At 39.8% G+C, this 16,659-nt stretch overlaps 1 long non-coding RNA gene across 1 annotated transcript in view; it reads right to left on the bottom strand.

The window, feature by feature from the left end:
• Window positions 1–11,915: 11,915 nt before the first annotated feature.
• The window catches only part of LOC107984222 (uncharacterized), a 28,038-nt gene continuing 23,294 nt past the window's right edge, over window positions 11,916–16,659 (bottom strand). The window contains exons 2-3 of the long non-coding RNA XR_001747423.2: window positions 13,914–14,050; window positions 11,916–12,446 (exon numbers count right to left, since the gene is read on the bottom strand). This is a non-coding gene — a long non-coding RNA (uncharacterized LOC107984222). The remainder of the gene's footprint in view (window positions 12,447–13,913; window positions 14,051–16,659) is intronic.

Below are 16,659 nucleotides of genomic sequence, written 5' to 3'. Positions count from 1 at the left end.
CCCAGGAAACCACGCTTCTCCCATGGATCTCTGCAATCCTCAGAGCAGGAGATCCCCTCGTGAGCCCACACCAGCAGGGCGTTGGGTCTGACACACAGACTTGTGTAGTCTCAGCAGAGCAGCTGCTCAGGCACACAGAGAACTTGACATACTCTGCCCCAGGATCCCCGCCAAGGTGGGAGGTCTGTACATACCCCCAGGAAGGGGGGAGAATGCAGGGAGACGAGCAGCGTTGGTCTGTGGGCTCTGCTTCTACTGCACATCACAAAATAAGACCCACTGACTCAGAATTCCAGCCAGCCACCAGCAACAGGGTGGAGCCTGCCTGAGATGGGATAGAGCCCCTGAAAAGGGGTGGGCTGCTATCTCTGCTGTTTGGTCAACTCAATCATTCCAGCCTGCGGGCTTTGGAGACTCCAAATGGTCCCGATGAGGAAAGGTCCCCCCAGTGCAGTACCGCTGCTTTGCCTGAACCTGGTCAGACTGCTTTTTTTTTTCTTTTAGACGGAGTCTCACTCTGTTGCCCAGGCTGGAGTGCAAATGGCACCATCTAGGTTCACTGCAACCTCTGCCTCCCTGGTTCAAGTGATTCTTCTGTCCCAGCCTCCCAAGTAGCTGGGATTACAGATGCCTGCCACCATGCCCAGGTAATTTTTGTATTTTTAGTAGAGACGTAGTTTCGCCAATGTTGGCCAGGCTGGTCTCGAACTCTTGACCTCAGGTGATCCGCCCACCTCGGCCTCCCAAAGTAGACTGCTTCTTTAAGTGGGACCTCAACCCACTCCCCCTCACTAGGTGGGACCTCCCAGCCAGAGCCTCCAGCTACCCTTGCCTACCCATATTCTACGGACAGAGCTCTGATCTCTCCCTGGGACAGTGCCTGCGGGGAGGGGAGGCCCCATCACCTTGGCTATTTGGGCAACTCAGCCATTCCAACCTGTGGGTTCTCCAGGCTGACCACGGCAGAAGCAGTTCCCCAGCATGGCTATTTTGTCAAGGCATGGTCAGACTGCTTTTTAAATGGGGCCCACATCCACTTCTCCTCACTGGGTGGGTCTTCCCAACCAGGGCCTCTGGCCATCCCCACCCATGTTCTACAGCTGACTGAGTTCTAATTTCTCCCTGGGGCAGAGTGCCCAGGGGGCAGGGCAGGCCACCACCTTGACTGTTTGGGTATCTCAGCCAGTCCAGCCTATGGGCCTTGGAGAGACCAAACTGACTGGGGGCTGAAGAGATCCAGTGAAGGATTTCACCAACACAGCACAGCTGCTCTACCAAAAAGCAGTCAGACTGCTTCTTTAAGTGAGTCCCTGATACCCTTTCACCTGACTGGGTGAGAACTCCCAACTGGGGTCCTCCAGCCACCTCTTACAGGCGTGTTGAGGCTGGCAACAGGTCAGTACACCCCTCAGATGGAGCTTCCAGAGGAAGGCACAGGCTGCCATCTATGCCATTTCACAGCCTCCACTGGTGATACCTCCAGGTACTTGAAGAACTGAGGTGACTAGATCTGGAGTGGATTCCCAGAAAACGGCAGCAGCCCTACGAAAGAATGGGTAGACTTTTAGAAGAAAAACAAACAACAGCAACAACAAAACCAAAAACTCCATCCAAAGGTCAGCAGCCTCAAAAATCAAAGGTAGATAGGCCCACAAAGATGAGAAAGAATCAACATAAAGATGCTGAAAACTCAAAAATCCAGAGGGCCCCCTCTCCTCCAAATAACTGCAACACCTCTCTAGCAAGGGCTCAGAACTGGGCTGAGGCTGAGATGGCTGAAATGACAGAAGTAGGCTTCAGAAAGTGAATAAAAACAAATTTTGCTGAGCTAAAGGAGATATTGTAACCCGATTCAAAGAAACTAAGAATCAGGATAAAACAATGCAGGAGCTGACAGCCAAAATAGCCAGTATGGAGAGGAACATAACCAACCTGATGGAGCTGCAAAACACACCACAAGAACTTCACAATGCAGTCACAAGTATTAATAGCAGAATAGACCAAGCGGAGGAAAGAATCTTGGAGCTTAAAGAGTATCTTTCTGAAATAAGACAGGCAGACAAGAATAGAGAAAAAAAAGAATGAGAAGGAATGAATAAAACCTCTGAGAAATACGGGATTATGTAAAGAGACCAAATCTACAACTAACTGGGGTACCTGAAGGAAACAGGGAGAATGGAGCCAATTTAGAAAACATATTTCAGGATATCATCCAGGAGAACTTTTCTAAGACAGGCCAACATTCAAAATCAAGAAATGCAGACAACTCCAGTAAGATACTCCATGAGAAGATCAACCACCAGACACATAATCATCAGATTCTCCAAGATCAAAATGAAAGAAAAAATGTTAAGGGAAGCCAGAGAGAAGGGCCACGTCACCTACAAAAGGAACATCAGACTAACAGCAGACCTCTCAGTAGAAACCCTACAAGCCAGAAAAGACTGGAGCCAATATTCAACATTCTTAAAGAAAAGAATTTCCAACCCAGAATTTCATGTCCTGCCAAACTAAGCTTCATAAGCAAAGGAGAAATAAGATCCTTTTCAGACAAGCAAATGCTGAAGAAATTTGTTACCACCAGACCTGCCTTACAAAGCCTCCTGAAGGAAGAACTAAATACTGAAAGGAAAAACTGTTACCAGCCACTACAAAAACACACTGAAGTAGACAGACCAGTGACATTATGGAGCAGCCACATAAACAAGTCTGCAAAATAACCAGCTAGCATCATGATGATGGAATCAAATTCACACATAACAATACTGACCTTAAATGTAAATGGGTTAAATGCCCCAATTAAAAGACATAGAATGCAAGCAAGATAAAGAGTCAAGCCACATCAGTCTGCTGTCTTCAAGAGAGCCATCTCAGGTGCAAAGATACACTTAGGCTCAAAATACAGTGATGGAGGAAAATTTGCCAAGTAAATGGAAAATAGAAAAAAGCAGGAATTACAATCCTAGTTTCTGACAAAACAGACTTAAACCAACAAAGATCAAAAAAGCAAAGAAGGGCATTACATGATGGCAAAGGGTTCAATTCAACAGGAAGAGCTAACTATCCTATATGCACCCAATACAGGAGCACCCATATTCACATAGCAAGTTCTTAGAGACCTACAAAGAGACTTAGACTCCCACACAATAATAGTGGAAGACTTTAATACCCCACTGTCAATAGTAGACATCATCAAGACAGAAATTTAACAAAGAAATTCAAGACCTAAACTAAGCTCTGAATCAAGTGGACCTGATAGACATCTACAGAACTCTCCACCCCAAAACAAAAGAATATACATTCTTCTCATTGCCACGTGGCCTTACTCTAAAATTGATCACATAATTGGAAGTAAAAGAGTCCTCAGCAAATGCAGAAGAACTGAAATCATAACAAGCAGTCCTCAGACCACAGAGCAATCAAATTAGAATTCAAGATTAAGAAGTTAACTAAAAACCATACAACTACGTGGAAATTGAACAACCTGCTCCTGAATGACTTTTGGGGAAAAAATGAAAGTAAGTCAGAAATCAAGAGGTTCTTTGAAACTAATGAGAAGAAAGATACAGTGTACTAGAATCTCTGGGAGGCAGCCAAAGCAGTGTTATGAGGGAAATTTACAACACTAGATGCTTACATTGAAAAGCTAGAAAGATCTCAATTTAACAACCTAACATCATAACTAAAAGACCTAGAGAACCAAGAGCAAACAAGCCCCAAAGCTAGCAGAAGACAAGAAATAACTAAGACCAGAGGTGAACTGGAAGGAAATAGAGACACAAAAAAATACCTTCAAAAATCAACAAATCCAGCAGTTGTTTTTCTGCAAAAAAATTAATAAAATAGACCACTAGCTAGACTAATAAAGAAGAAAAGAGACAAGATTCAAATAAACATAATCAGAAATGATAAGGGGGATATCACCACTGACCCCACAGAAATACAAACAACCATCAGAGAATACTATAAACAACTCTATGCACATAAATTAGAAAATATAGAAGCAATAGTTAAATTCCTGGACACATGTACCCTCCCAAGATTGAATCAGGAAGAAATTGAATATGTGAACAGACCAATAACAATTCTGACACTGAAGCAGTAATAAATAGTCCACCAACCCAAAAAAGCCCAGGACCAGGCAGATTTATAGCTGAATTCTACCAGAGTTACAAAGAAGAGCTGGTACCATTCCTAGTGAAACTATTCCAAAAAATTGAAAAGAAGGGACTCGTCCATAACTCATTCTATGAGGCCAGCATCATCCTGATACCAAAACCTGGCAGAGATACAATAAAAAAGAAAATTTCAGGCCAATATTCTTGATGAACATTGACGCAAAAGTTCTTAACAAAATACTGGCAAACCAAATCCAGCAGCACATCAAAAAGCTTCTCCACAACGATCAAGTAGGCTTCATCCCTGGGATGCAAGGCTTATTCAAAATATGCAAATCAATAAATGTGATTCATCGCATAAACAGAACTAAGGGCAAAAACCACATAATTATCTCAATAGATGCAGAAAAGGCCTTCAATAAAATTCAACATCACTTCCTGTTAAAAACTCTCAATAAACTAGGTATTGAAGGAATATACCTCAAAATAATAAGAGCCATTTATGACAAACTCACAGCCAATATCATACTGAATGGGCAAAAGCTGGAAGCATTCCCCTTGAAAACTGGCACAAGACAAGGTTGCCCTCTCTCACCACTCCTATTCAACATAATATTGGAAGTTCTGACTAGGGCAATCAGGCAAGAGAAAGAAGTAAAGGATATTCAAATAGGAAGAGAGAAAGTCAAACTATCTTTGCTTGCAGATGACATAATCCTATATCTAGAAAACCCCATCATCTCAACTGAAAAGCTTCTTAAGCTGATAAACAAGTTCAGCAAAGTCTCAGGATACAAAATCAATGTGCAAAAATCACTAGCATTTCTATACAACAATAACAGGCAAGCCAAGAGCCAAATCATGAATGAACTCCCATTAACAACTGTCACAAAAAGAATAAAATACCTAAGAATACAGTTAACAAGGGAAGTGAAAGATCTCTTCAAAGAGAACTATAAATAACTGCTTAAATAAATTAGAGATGACACAAACAAATGGAAAAACCTTCATGCTCATGGATAGGAAGAATCAATGTCGTGAAAATGGCCGTAGTGCTCAAAGAAATTTATAGATTCAATGCTATTCCCGTTAAACTATCATTGACATTCTTCACAGTATTAGAAAAAATGTATTGTAAAATTTATATAGAACCAAAAAAGAGCCCGAATAGCCAAGGCAATCCCAAGCAAAAAGAACAAAGCTGGAAGCATCATGCTTCCCGACTTCAAACTGTACTACAGGGCTACAGTAACCAAAACAGCATGGCACTGGTATAAGAACAGACACACAGACCAATGGAACAGAATAGTGAATGAGTAACAAGATCACACACCTACCACCACTTTATCTTTGACAAACCTGACAACAACAAGCAATGGGGAAAGGATTTCCTATTTAATAAATGGTGCTGGGAGAACTGGCCAGCCATATGCAGAAAATTAAAACTGGACCTCTTCCTTACACTATATACAAAAATCAACTCAATTTGGATTGAAGACTTAACTATAAAGTCCAGAGCTATAAAAACCCTAGAATAAAACTGAGGCAATACTATTCAGGACACAGGCACAGGCAAAGATGTCATGATGAAGGTGCCAAAAGCAATTGCAACAAAAGCAAAAATTGAAAAATGGTATCTAATTAAACTAAAGAACCTGTGCACAGCAAAAGAAACTTCAACAGAGTAAACAGACAACCTACAGAATGTACGAAAATATTTGCAAACTACCCATCTGACAAAGTTCTAATATCCAGTATCTGTAAGGAACTTAAACAAATTTACAAGAAAAAAATAACCCCATTAAAAAGTGGGCAAAGGACACGAACAACAGACACTTCTCAAAAGAAGACACATACGTGGCCAACAAACATGAAAAAAAGCTCAACATCACTTATCATTAGAGAAATGCAAATCAAAACCAAAATGAGATACCGTTTCACATATTAGTAAATAATCAAAAAACAACAGATGCTGGTGAGGTTGTTGAGGAAAAGGAACAATTTTACACTGTGGGTGGGAGTATAAATTAGTTCAGCCATTGTGGAAGACAATATGGCAATTCCTTAAAGACCTAGAGGCAGAAATATCATTCGACCCAGCAATCCTGTGACTGGGTATATGCCCAAAGGAATATAAATCATTCTATCATAAAGACACATGAACTCATATATTCATCACTGCAGTATCACAATGGCAAAGACAAAAAAAAAAAAAAAACCTAGGTGCCCATCAATGATAAACTGGATACAGAAAATGTGGTACCTATACACCATGGAATATTATGCAGCCATAAAAAGAATGAGATCATGTTCTTTACAGGGACATGGATGCAGCTGGAGTGCATTATCCTTAGCAAACTAACACAGAAATGGAAAACCAAATACCACATGTTCTCACTTATAAGTGGGAGCTAAATGATGAGAACACATGGACACATGGGTGTGAGCAACACATACTTGGGCCTGTCTGATGGTGGAGCATGGGAGGAAGGAGAGGATCAAGAAAACTAGCTAATGGATGCTGGGCTTAATACCTGGGACGATCTGTGCAGCAAACCGCCATGGCACACATTTACCTATGTAACAAACCTGCACATCCTGCACATGTACTCCTGAACTTAAAAGGTGGAAAAGAAAAAACTAATGGTGGGGTAGGTCAAAAAAGCACCAGGGTCAACTTAAAGAGCCCCGATAACCAAAGCTAGAACCACCTGAGCAACAAGTCAGAAAAATAGTATTGGATTATTGCCCAAAGCACAAAATAAATATCTATGAATCCAGAGTGATATAAATATGTGATTCAATCAATAAATGAGAAAGAAGAAATGTCTCCTATGCAGAAGAATTACAGACAATTTACATAGCTGCTCTGCCCTCCATGAGGTGGATTCTAACTCCCCACTCCTGAAGTGTAGGCTGGGCACTGTAACTTCCAAAGAGTGCAGTATGGAAGAGAGAGGGAAAAAGAGTAATTTTGCAGTGGGGAAAACTGACAACAACCTCAGCCAGGCAATCAGGTTTGTCATCGCTAGCGGTAAGTCATGTTGATTGTATGTGCTCTCAATGAAGTGATGGAAATGGCACATTACTTCAATGGTCTTCCTCCCAAGAAACCACAACCCCAGGCTAATCATGACAAAAAACAGCAGGCACCCCCATGTGAGGGACATTCTACAAGATACCTGACTAGTACTCCTCAGACTTGTCAAGGTTATCAAAAACAAGGAAAGTCGTCTGAGAAACTCACAGCCAAGAACTCCTAAGGAGGCAGGAGACCAAATGTACTGTATTCTGGATGGGATCTTAGAACAGAAAAAAAAGATGTTAGACAAAAACTTGTGAAAATTTAATAAAGTGTGTCCTTTAGACAATAATACTATATCAATACTGGTTCATTGTTACAAATATACCAAACAAATGTAAATATTAATCGTAGGATAAACTGGGTGTGGAGCCTATAGGCACTCTCTGTACTGTTCTCACAATTTTTCTGCAAATTTAAAACTGTTCTTTAAAAAAAGTTATTTACAAAAGGATAAATGTCTCATCTAGTTTCTTGTTACCTTTTAAGTTTTATTCCAAGCATTCCACTACAGTTAGAAAAACTATTATCCAAAAATTCTACTTTGAAATTTATTATATAAATATCACCATAAGTAAGTTTATATTATTTGCTGTAAGGAGTCAATCACACTGATTAATTAATCTTTTCTCTCAGTTTTTAAGAGTTTTTCTTTAAAAACTCATTTCAAATAAAAATATAAAAATGACATATATCCTCTATCTCAGAGGTTACTCTGACTCCTATAAAATGAAGAGAATGTTTCAGACCAGCCATATATTCAAGGATTTTTTTTAATTGTTCTGGATGACAATTTACTCCCTATGCTCTAATGCTTTTTGGTATTCTGTTTAATAGCTTTACATGCCAAAATGCATAAGACAAAATATCAGAAACCTGAATAAGTGTTTGAATTTGATCTCATTGCCATCAGGCAAGACCATATCTAAAAAGACAAGTGGACAATAGCCTCACCTACCTCTGTGTAACCACTAGAGAAGACATTCTGTCTGTCTCCCATATTTGTACTAATCCCCCTGTCAAGGTCCTTCCTTAAGCCTGAGTTGAATCCTATGTGCTGCTGCCTAATTCTATTTCTTCCTATTATCTTTTCAAATAAAGATGGGAAATACTTACTGGCCAATTTCTGTGCAGCAACCATGCATGGTATATAAAAATCATCATTAAATAACCATTCTTTTCAGATGAAATGTGCATAGTCCTTTAATCTTTTCAATTCAAGGCTGAGCCATTTGTCATCTTGTAGGTGGTTATCTGAACACTTTTCTAATTGCTACAGTCGTGTCTTTAGCACAGCACCGAAGAGTAAAACTTGACATTCAAGACAAATATTTGAAAATCCCTGTGTGATCGTGGAAGAAAAAAATAGTCTATGAAAAGAATAAGGTTACCTAATTTTATCATTGAGAATGGATTTTAACTGAAAACATTCTCTATTAGAATTTCAACCTTCCTTTTGTGCGTTTGGATACAAAAGAGAGTGCAGAATCTGATAGACTATAACTTTTTAAAGCACAACCCTCCCATGTGACTATTAAAACACGGGCTATTTATTGAAACATCAGGGTGAGATGGATTGGTGGGCAAATTTTTATCCAATACTAAGTAGCCATAGAAAAAAATGCTTGATACTTTGCCATCCCTGGCAGCTCTCATCTCAGGCAGCAAGGCTCCTTGAACTGTGAAAAGGCTTTCCTGCTGTTCACAGTGTCTGCAGCCATACAGCTTTTGGAACACAATTTAACTGATTTTGTCCAATGAGCCTAGAGAGACATAATCACCTTCTCCTCTGGACGCTGCAGGAGATCCTCTCCCATATGAAGGCCTGGTCACTTGGACCTACAAGAATAGGATTAATTCATTGCTTTCATAAATGCAACGAGTTACTTATGTGAACACAAAGGAATGTGTACCTAACACACGTAGCACCGGCCTGCCATCTAATAAGGTCTCAGAAGAAAAGCTAGTGCTTTTTTGAAAAAAAGGAATTTACAGATTACAAATTTGAGACCTTGTAACTGTGGTAGAAAGGTTGTTTTTTCCCCATAATTTTGTTAATGAGAATTGTGTGTGTGTGTTTGTGTGTGTGTGTGTGTGTGAGAGAGAGTGAGAGAGAGAGAGAGAGAGAGAGATATTTACTCTGTTTGCTTGGTTATATGGAATTTATTTCACCTGCTCTCTTCCCTACAGCACTCACATCCTCAGAGGTTTAGCAGAGGTCAATTTGACACTCCCCATCTCAGCCAGTGTGCGAAACCAAATTTTAAGCTGCTGATGAGGAAATTAAGTGCTGTGACACCTGACTATGCCTTTCTCTTCTCCACCTCTCACCACAGGCTTCAGTTCTGGAGACCCCTACACGTGATCCCCTGTTGTGGCTTCACTCTTCTCTCTTCATTCTCCTCCCTGACTGTTTCTTTTCCATCTCTATCTCAAAAGCCATAGAACGAAGCATCCCCTTCTCCCACACACAAAATCCCAGCAACCTCATCCTTCAAACTTAACAAGTTCCTATCTGGTTCGTGATATACCAAGACACTGAAATACCACCAATACCCATGCAGTCAATGCTGTGGTTCTGTTGTTTTCAGCAACAGAGAAATAAGTGTAGTGCCTATGGGTATAAAGCAATGTGCCCACAAAACTGCCTTCCCAAACGTATACATTGAAGATGGTTATCCTTTATCCTTCTCCTCTTGAACTCCATGAAATGCCCCTGAATACCTGTCTTTTCAGTAGTCTGTGAATCTTCATATAATCTTCCATATAATATGGTCTTACATCATCCCTAAAGATGATAATTACCGGGCCGTAATTTTCAAGACTGTCCCAAGGTGGAAGGCATCTACTGGTGCCAGGGGTTGGAAAAGACATTCTTAAGAAAAAGCAGTACTCTAGGTCTGTGATTGTCAGTATTTACCTGTAAACAAGATAAAGTGAGGTAATGATTTCAGATGTGCAAAATACTTATGGCTAATTTATCCAGGTAATTGAGATGCATTTGACATTTGTCACATGAGGCATCAGGATTTAAACTTTTCCTAAGAAGTCACTAAAGAATTTCCTCTTGAGAGATTTTCCTTCTCAAAAATGATGATGCTTTTCTTTACTTAACCTAATCTCCACCAGCATCTACCTCCTGCTTGGACGTGCTCACACCAAGAAGCACAAGCCCGTGCTTGTTGCTAAGCAGCAGCTCTGCTTTGAAATAAGAAATACTTTCAGCTCACACCTGTAATCCTAGCACTTTGGGAAGCCAAGGTGGGTGGATTTCCTAAGGCCAGGAGTTTGAGACCAGCCTGGACAACATGTCAAAAACCCTGTCTCTACAAAAAAATACAAAAAAAGATTAGCCTGGCATGGTAGCATGCACTTATAGTCCCAGCTACTCAAGAGGTGAGGTGGGAGGATTGTTTGCGCCCAGGAAGTCGAGGCTGTAATGAGCTGTGATCGTACCACCACACTCCAGCCTGGGTGACAGAGAGAGACCCTCTAAAAAAATTTTTTTTAAGTATGTGTATTCATGATTCATCTTTGGACGTGCAGTGTATTTGAATCTTCTTGATGGAAGAAATATATCACAACACATGGCTCATTTACAAGATTCTGAATAAGACCGGCCATGAGGGGAGTTATTAGAACAGAACAACTACACACCAGAAACCCAGACCTCTGGGTTGGGGCTAGGTTGTAGCTTTCATCTCAGACCTTGAGAAGCTCCATTAGTGGAAAAGAATCTAATGTGACAGCTTGGTCACATCCTATCTATTAGGAGCCACGTTCTGGACTGAGGGGTACACAGTAGGGACCCTGCTTTTTGAAGACAGGCAACTTCTGCTCAAACCGACATATTCAAAAAAACACAAAGTGTACACAGGGAGCACGACCCCGAATCAGACTTGCATCCCATTATAAAGAGATTGCATTCTTTAAACTGTGCTAAAGGGGCATCTAAACCATCTGTCTTCTGCTTCTTGGTGGCCTGTCACAAAGAGTCTGACTCTAAACAGGAAACATTTCCAGGTTATAAATAGAAAGGGCATGACAAATATATTTTGCCTGAAGAAAAATATTAATGAAATAAATAAACCCAAATTTTGGTAAGGTGTCAGCCAAAATATGTTCATCACTGTCAGTTTGAGTCAGCCACACAGCATTTCCCAAGTTAAGAACAGCTCGAGGCTGTTGCTAAATTGGGATTATAAAAGATGTCTTCATACACAGAGTCTGTATTTCCAAGGAAGAAGCAGGATGAATTTCCCCCTACTCTCTATATAAAAGAAAAACTGAAAACTACCTGGAGGAAAGCCTCCCTGCTTATGTTTTATTTTTGTTGCTTTCATCCTTTCCCCATCCTCACCACCACTGCGTCCAGTAGAAGGAATTACTTGACTCCATCCATCCAATGTGCAATCGCTATACAGTTCTGGAATGTAATTGCCTGGGTTTTAAATCTTGGCTCCCCAACGTGGCTCTATGACAGCCAGCAAATCACTTGCTTTCCCTGTTCCTCTGTATCATCATTTGTGAAATGGAGATAATCATAAAGACCTCAGGGCTTTTGAAAGAGTTCAAAGAAATAATGAAATGCAAATGCCTAGGTGTGTACTCAGCATACAGATCCATGAACATTGGCTATAATTAATAGAAATGTCCAAAGCATTTCCTTCAGCCACTTTTATAAAACACACTCTTACAGCACTTGATTTCCATGGTTTGTGTGCATTTCTTACCATTTTTATTGTGAAGTTCTGTGTTGAAAACTTCTTTACGTTCATCCAGCACGTTGCCTTATTGCTTTAAACAAAGTGGGTGCTTTGCAGTGAAAAGTCTTCATAGCAAAACATTTCACAAATCTCTGAAAACATTTTCATTTTGCTTAATGAGAGACAGTATTCTTTCAACCCAATTATTGATCATCTATCCCTCTAACATCAAATTTTAGCAATATTTGATTTTCAAATGACTACAATTTCAATTACAGGCAAAGGCGTAACATTTCTGCTTTAAAGTTAGTAATATGGGGAATGTGGATTCTGCCTTGTCCAGAATGATGGCGATGGAAGAACAAGGTGCTTCTGGATGGAATTCCACAACGACCTGGTAGCCACGTTTGGAAAGCACACATTTTCCATGGAGGTGACTCCCTGAGCTACACTTTGGCATGATGAATGGATCTCCAATGCTCCAGCAGCCTCATCCGCAACGGCAAATATTCAGTGCATCCTTACAGCTCTTTGCAGAACCTGCCAACATGTTGACGAAATATGTGGTTTATAATAAACTCATTAGCCTTTTTATCTAAAATTGAGGCTGGGCACGTTGGTTCACACCTGTCATCCCAGAACTTTTGGAGGCTGAGGTGAGAGAATCTCTTGAGCCCAAGAGTTCAAGACTGCAGTGAGCTAAGATCACGCCATTGTACTCCATCCTGGTGACAGAGGGAGGCCCTGTTTCTACAATACATTTAAAATAAATAAGAAAAATAAAATAGATAATATTTTTGTTTTGCAATTTGGGAACATAGTATTTTCTTAATCAATATATTCATATGTTTATATATATAAATATGTATGTATTTTTAATAAGCATTAATACAGCACATTTGCTTGCTCATGGGAACCAACCCAGGACAGAGGTGGGATTGGATGCTCTTTCTTCTTAATTCCTGAACACGTGCATTCCCTGATGATAGGGGGAGGTTATGACAAGGAAGGATTTCTGCCTTGATGCTCTGTGGATCTTTCCCCAGGAGGCATCAAAACTGTGCAGTGAAATTCTACACAACTCAGGAAGTAGAACAGTTTCTACTCATACTATAAACAATTTTATTTGCAGGGGATATGATTTTGTTTTTAATTTAGAGTAAATTAAGCAGCATAACACAGACTAGCCTGCCCCTGGAGAATAAGGTTTGGTGACAAATGTCAATTAGATTAGGTTTTAAAAAATTATTATAATCTTAGTTTACAGCACAGTTACGTGAGTAATTGTGACAATTCCCACCAGTCTAATTTAAAGCTTCAGTTAGGCCTTTAGACTTTTAAATATCATTTTTAATTTAGTTTAAAATTCATGTGGATAATGGGGAAAAATGGCAAGGTTTTTTTGTTGTTTGTTTGTTTTTTGTTTTTTGCCTTTTGGTTTCATGCATTCCTTTCCTCAGTGTTCTCTCACATCTGTTTTAAAGCTCAACTGACAACCAATATTCTCCTCCTAGGAATTATTTTGGTATATAAAGCAACCACAGCACTATTATTTAGCCCCTTCAGATAAAATGGAAAGACACACACGATACACACACACACACACACACACACACACACACGCAGATACACACACAGAGTCACTGATCAAAAGATCAGTACAGGCCAGGACCTAAAACAGAAGGTGAGTAGCTGTAGTTGACTGAAATTAAACCAGGCCAGGGTTGACCCAGACCCAGCCAGCAGTTGTTGACAGAGGCTTTGAAGAGGCTCTATCAGATACGTATCAGATTATTCTCTAGCCCCAGCAAAGGGGCATTGAAGATCTGTTGAGTTTAAAAGACAATTTCCTGATGACTTGACCTTGCCAGGGTAGAAGCATTCATGACTTTGGCCTTTAAAACCCTCTGCAATTATCCAACTCAGTAGTGATAGTTTTTCTAGGTGTCTAAGCTGCTTAACAAATCATCCAAAACTTGGTGGCTTAAAACAACAACCATCATTTACCTTCTCTCAGTTTCTGTAGGTCTTCCAGAGTGTTCAGCGGTGATGCTGGTTCAGGGGCACTCAGGAGGATGGAGTCTGGTGATGGCTCAGGCTGGGGATATTGTCAGGTTTCTCCTCTCATCTCTCTGGTGCCAGGGCTGAAATGATTCAAATAACAGGGGCTGGACAGCTGAGATCCTCGGGCACCTCTTTCTGTGTCTCTATGTCTCTCCCTGGAATCTCTCTCCAGCACTGTGTTTTCAGGGTGGCAGTTCCTCTAGTATACTGTCTCAGGGCTCCTTAGGCATGTTTACCCATGAGAGCAGGAGACCGGCAGAGCTGTGTCACCTTTGCTAACCTAGCCCAGAGGTGGCCCAATATCACTTCCACAATTTTCTATTCATTAGAAGCAAATCCCTAAGTTCAGTTCACATTAGGAAAGGGGAATTGGACTCCATATTTTGAAAGTGGTATGCAAAAAATTCAAAGATGTGTTCCAAACCGTCACAATGGCTATGCCTAATAATTTTTTATTTTCATAAGTACTGGATGGGTTTTACCTAACATGATAGCAGGTATAGATTTTTCTTCCTTAAAAATGTTTGAGCTTAAAACATAGGTCATATGTCATCCTTTTCTATTACATAATGAAATAATTATTAAGCAAATATTTTGTGAAATAAGGAGAGCTATAAATAAATAAATAAAATAAATACATAAATATCTAGATGAAATGCTCATAAAGATGTCAGACTTAAAAATGTTATCAGGTCATTTGTACCACCTGTTCACTTTTCCTATGAATGTTATCTCTTGGAAAATATAAAGGCCAGTGCTTTAAGCAAGTAATATGCACAATTTAAAACATGAGTAAAAATAATAGATGTTGAAAAGAAACATCCTCTTACAAGATCATGCCCCAAAGCCACTGAGGCTCTTTTCTGAACATTTTGAATATGATTCTCATTTGAAGCTGATGGAAACTAGAGTAATTATTAATACAAACCCAATAAGTAATAATTAATTTTTGCCTTCTTGTTTATGCCTCAGGGAATATTTCTGCAATCAACTGATATGTCACCCCCTGAATTAACACTAAAAAGTTTCTTTGGTATTCGACAGGTGTTAACACTGACTAGGAATCACAGCCTTTTTAATTAGCAAAATTCATTGTGTTGAAGGCTAGTTAGGCTTTTATCAATTAAAAAAATCTTTCTTTTTGAATAATAGTGAAAATTTAGCCCAGCACTTGAATGTCCCCAAAGAGGTGAGCGTATGAAAGAAACCACTGAACCCAGAAAAGAAGAAACATAAAGCAATGTTTATACCCCTTCTATGATTCTTCCAGAAAGAACTCTAGTGGATTACCTGCAGGGAGACTAAAACTTAGAGCTCTGACTAGAGTAGCAAAAACAGACAGGAAGCATAGAAAATAAGATCAGCCTAAGGTTAAGCAGAGTTTGCAGAAAGCAAAATGCATGTGCTGAGGATTTCTTATTTTTAAAGTTAAGCTTGCCACATGTTATAACATCAACATATTCAACTACTATTTCATGTCATCTTCACAGGTTTCTATAAAATCTTTTGAAAGAATTGAGGAGGGAACAATTCTCAGTTCTAAATTTGCTTCATATTTGCCAATTGTTTTCACACTGAAAAGAAATGCACTGACATAATTTCAGAACCAAAGAAAGGCACATTTTGCTGGGCAGGTGTTGTGGTCTACAACTCTCATACAGAGAATATTATTGCAGAGAATGTCAAGGCTGAGGTCAGAAGCCCCAGGTAAGAAAGGCATATTGAACCATTTTGGTTTACAAATAAGTAAAACAGAAATCTCAGAGCTTAATTGCCAAATAGACTAAAAATCTCACATAATTTTTAAATAATGAAACTATGAATAATAAAATTAATTAAGTTTTAAAGCTGGGACATTTCCTCAAAATATATTTTTTTCTTATTCGCTACAGTTTAGAGGCAGATGGACTCCAATGACTGTGTTTCTTGGAGTATTAGAATGAATGGGATCCTGTTCTTTGAATTTGCAGACTGATAATAAAAGTCCCTGCCCCTCTGCAGCCTTTGCCATGTGGCCTGGGTTTCAATTAGTATACTTTTAAAATATAATCAAAGCTGAAATTATATTTTTAGCTGTCTCCAGGGGAAAGATATAATGACAGCTGGGACTAAAATGAAAGGATTCCCATATCATGTAAAGGGCACCAAAAAGAAAGCTATCAAGATCTCGGTTCTCCATCTCATCCTGGACACCAGCAAGCTTTGGGACCCGAAATTAATGCTCCCCCTCTCAGGTACTCCATTTCCAAATCCGTATACTTGACTAATTATCTAAGATCCCTCTGGCTCTTAGTGGTTATGATCATTTGAAACTAATCCTCATGACTTCTGTAATAAGGCCTCAAACCTAAAATTACATGCCAAAAATGAGATAATCAAGAAACAAACCATGATTTAAATTCCCCCTTTGGGATTCTTTTCAACTCTGACACACCCAGCCAGCACATGGAATACTAACCAAGTGCTGTTGCTGAGTGGACACATTGAAAAGTCACCACGGTTTTCTCCATAAAATAGTTACTGAGATTCAATCAGATATAAAATACAGTTGTAGTTGCTAAGATAGGCAGGTGTCAGGCACCACCCCTCCCTGGAGTTGCTGACAGCACACACAGGGATATGAGACAAGCACACTCCTAAAGAGGAAGAACAATGCTGCACAAGTAAGTAATGCCACAGGATCCTTCAG

This window comes from Homo sapiens, chromosome 10 (genome assembly GCF_000001405.40).
Source record: "Homo sapiens chromosome 10, GRCh38.p14 Primary Assembly".
In the NCBI taxonomy this organism is placed as follows: Eukaryota; Metazoa; Chordata; class Mammalia; order Primates; family Hominidae; genus Homo; species Homo sapiens.
The sequence above is the reverse complement of the archived record's forward strand: the minus strand, read 5'-3'. Positions and strand labels throughout refer to the sequence as shown.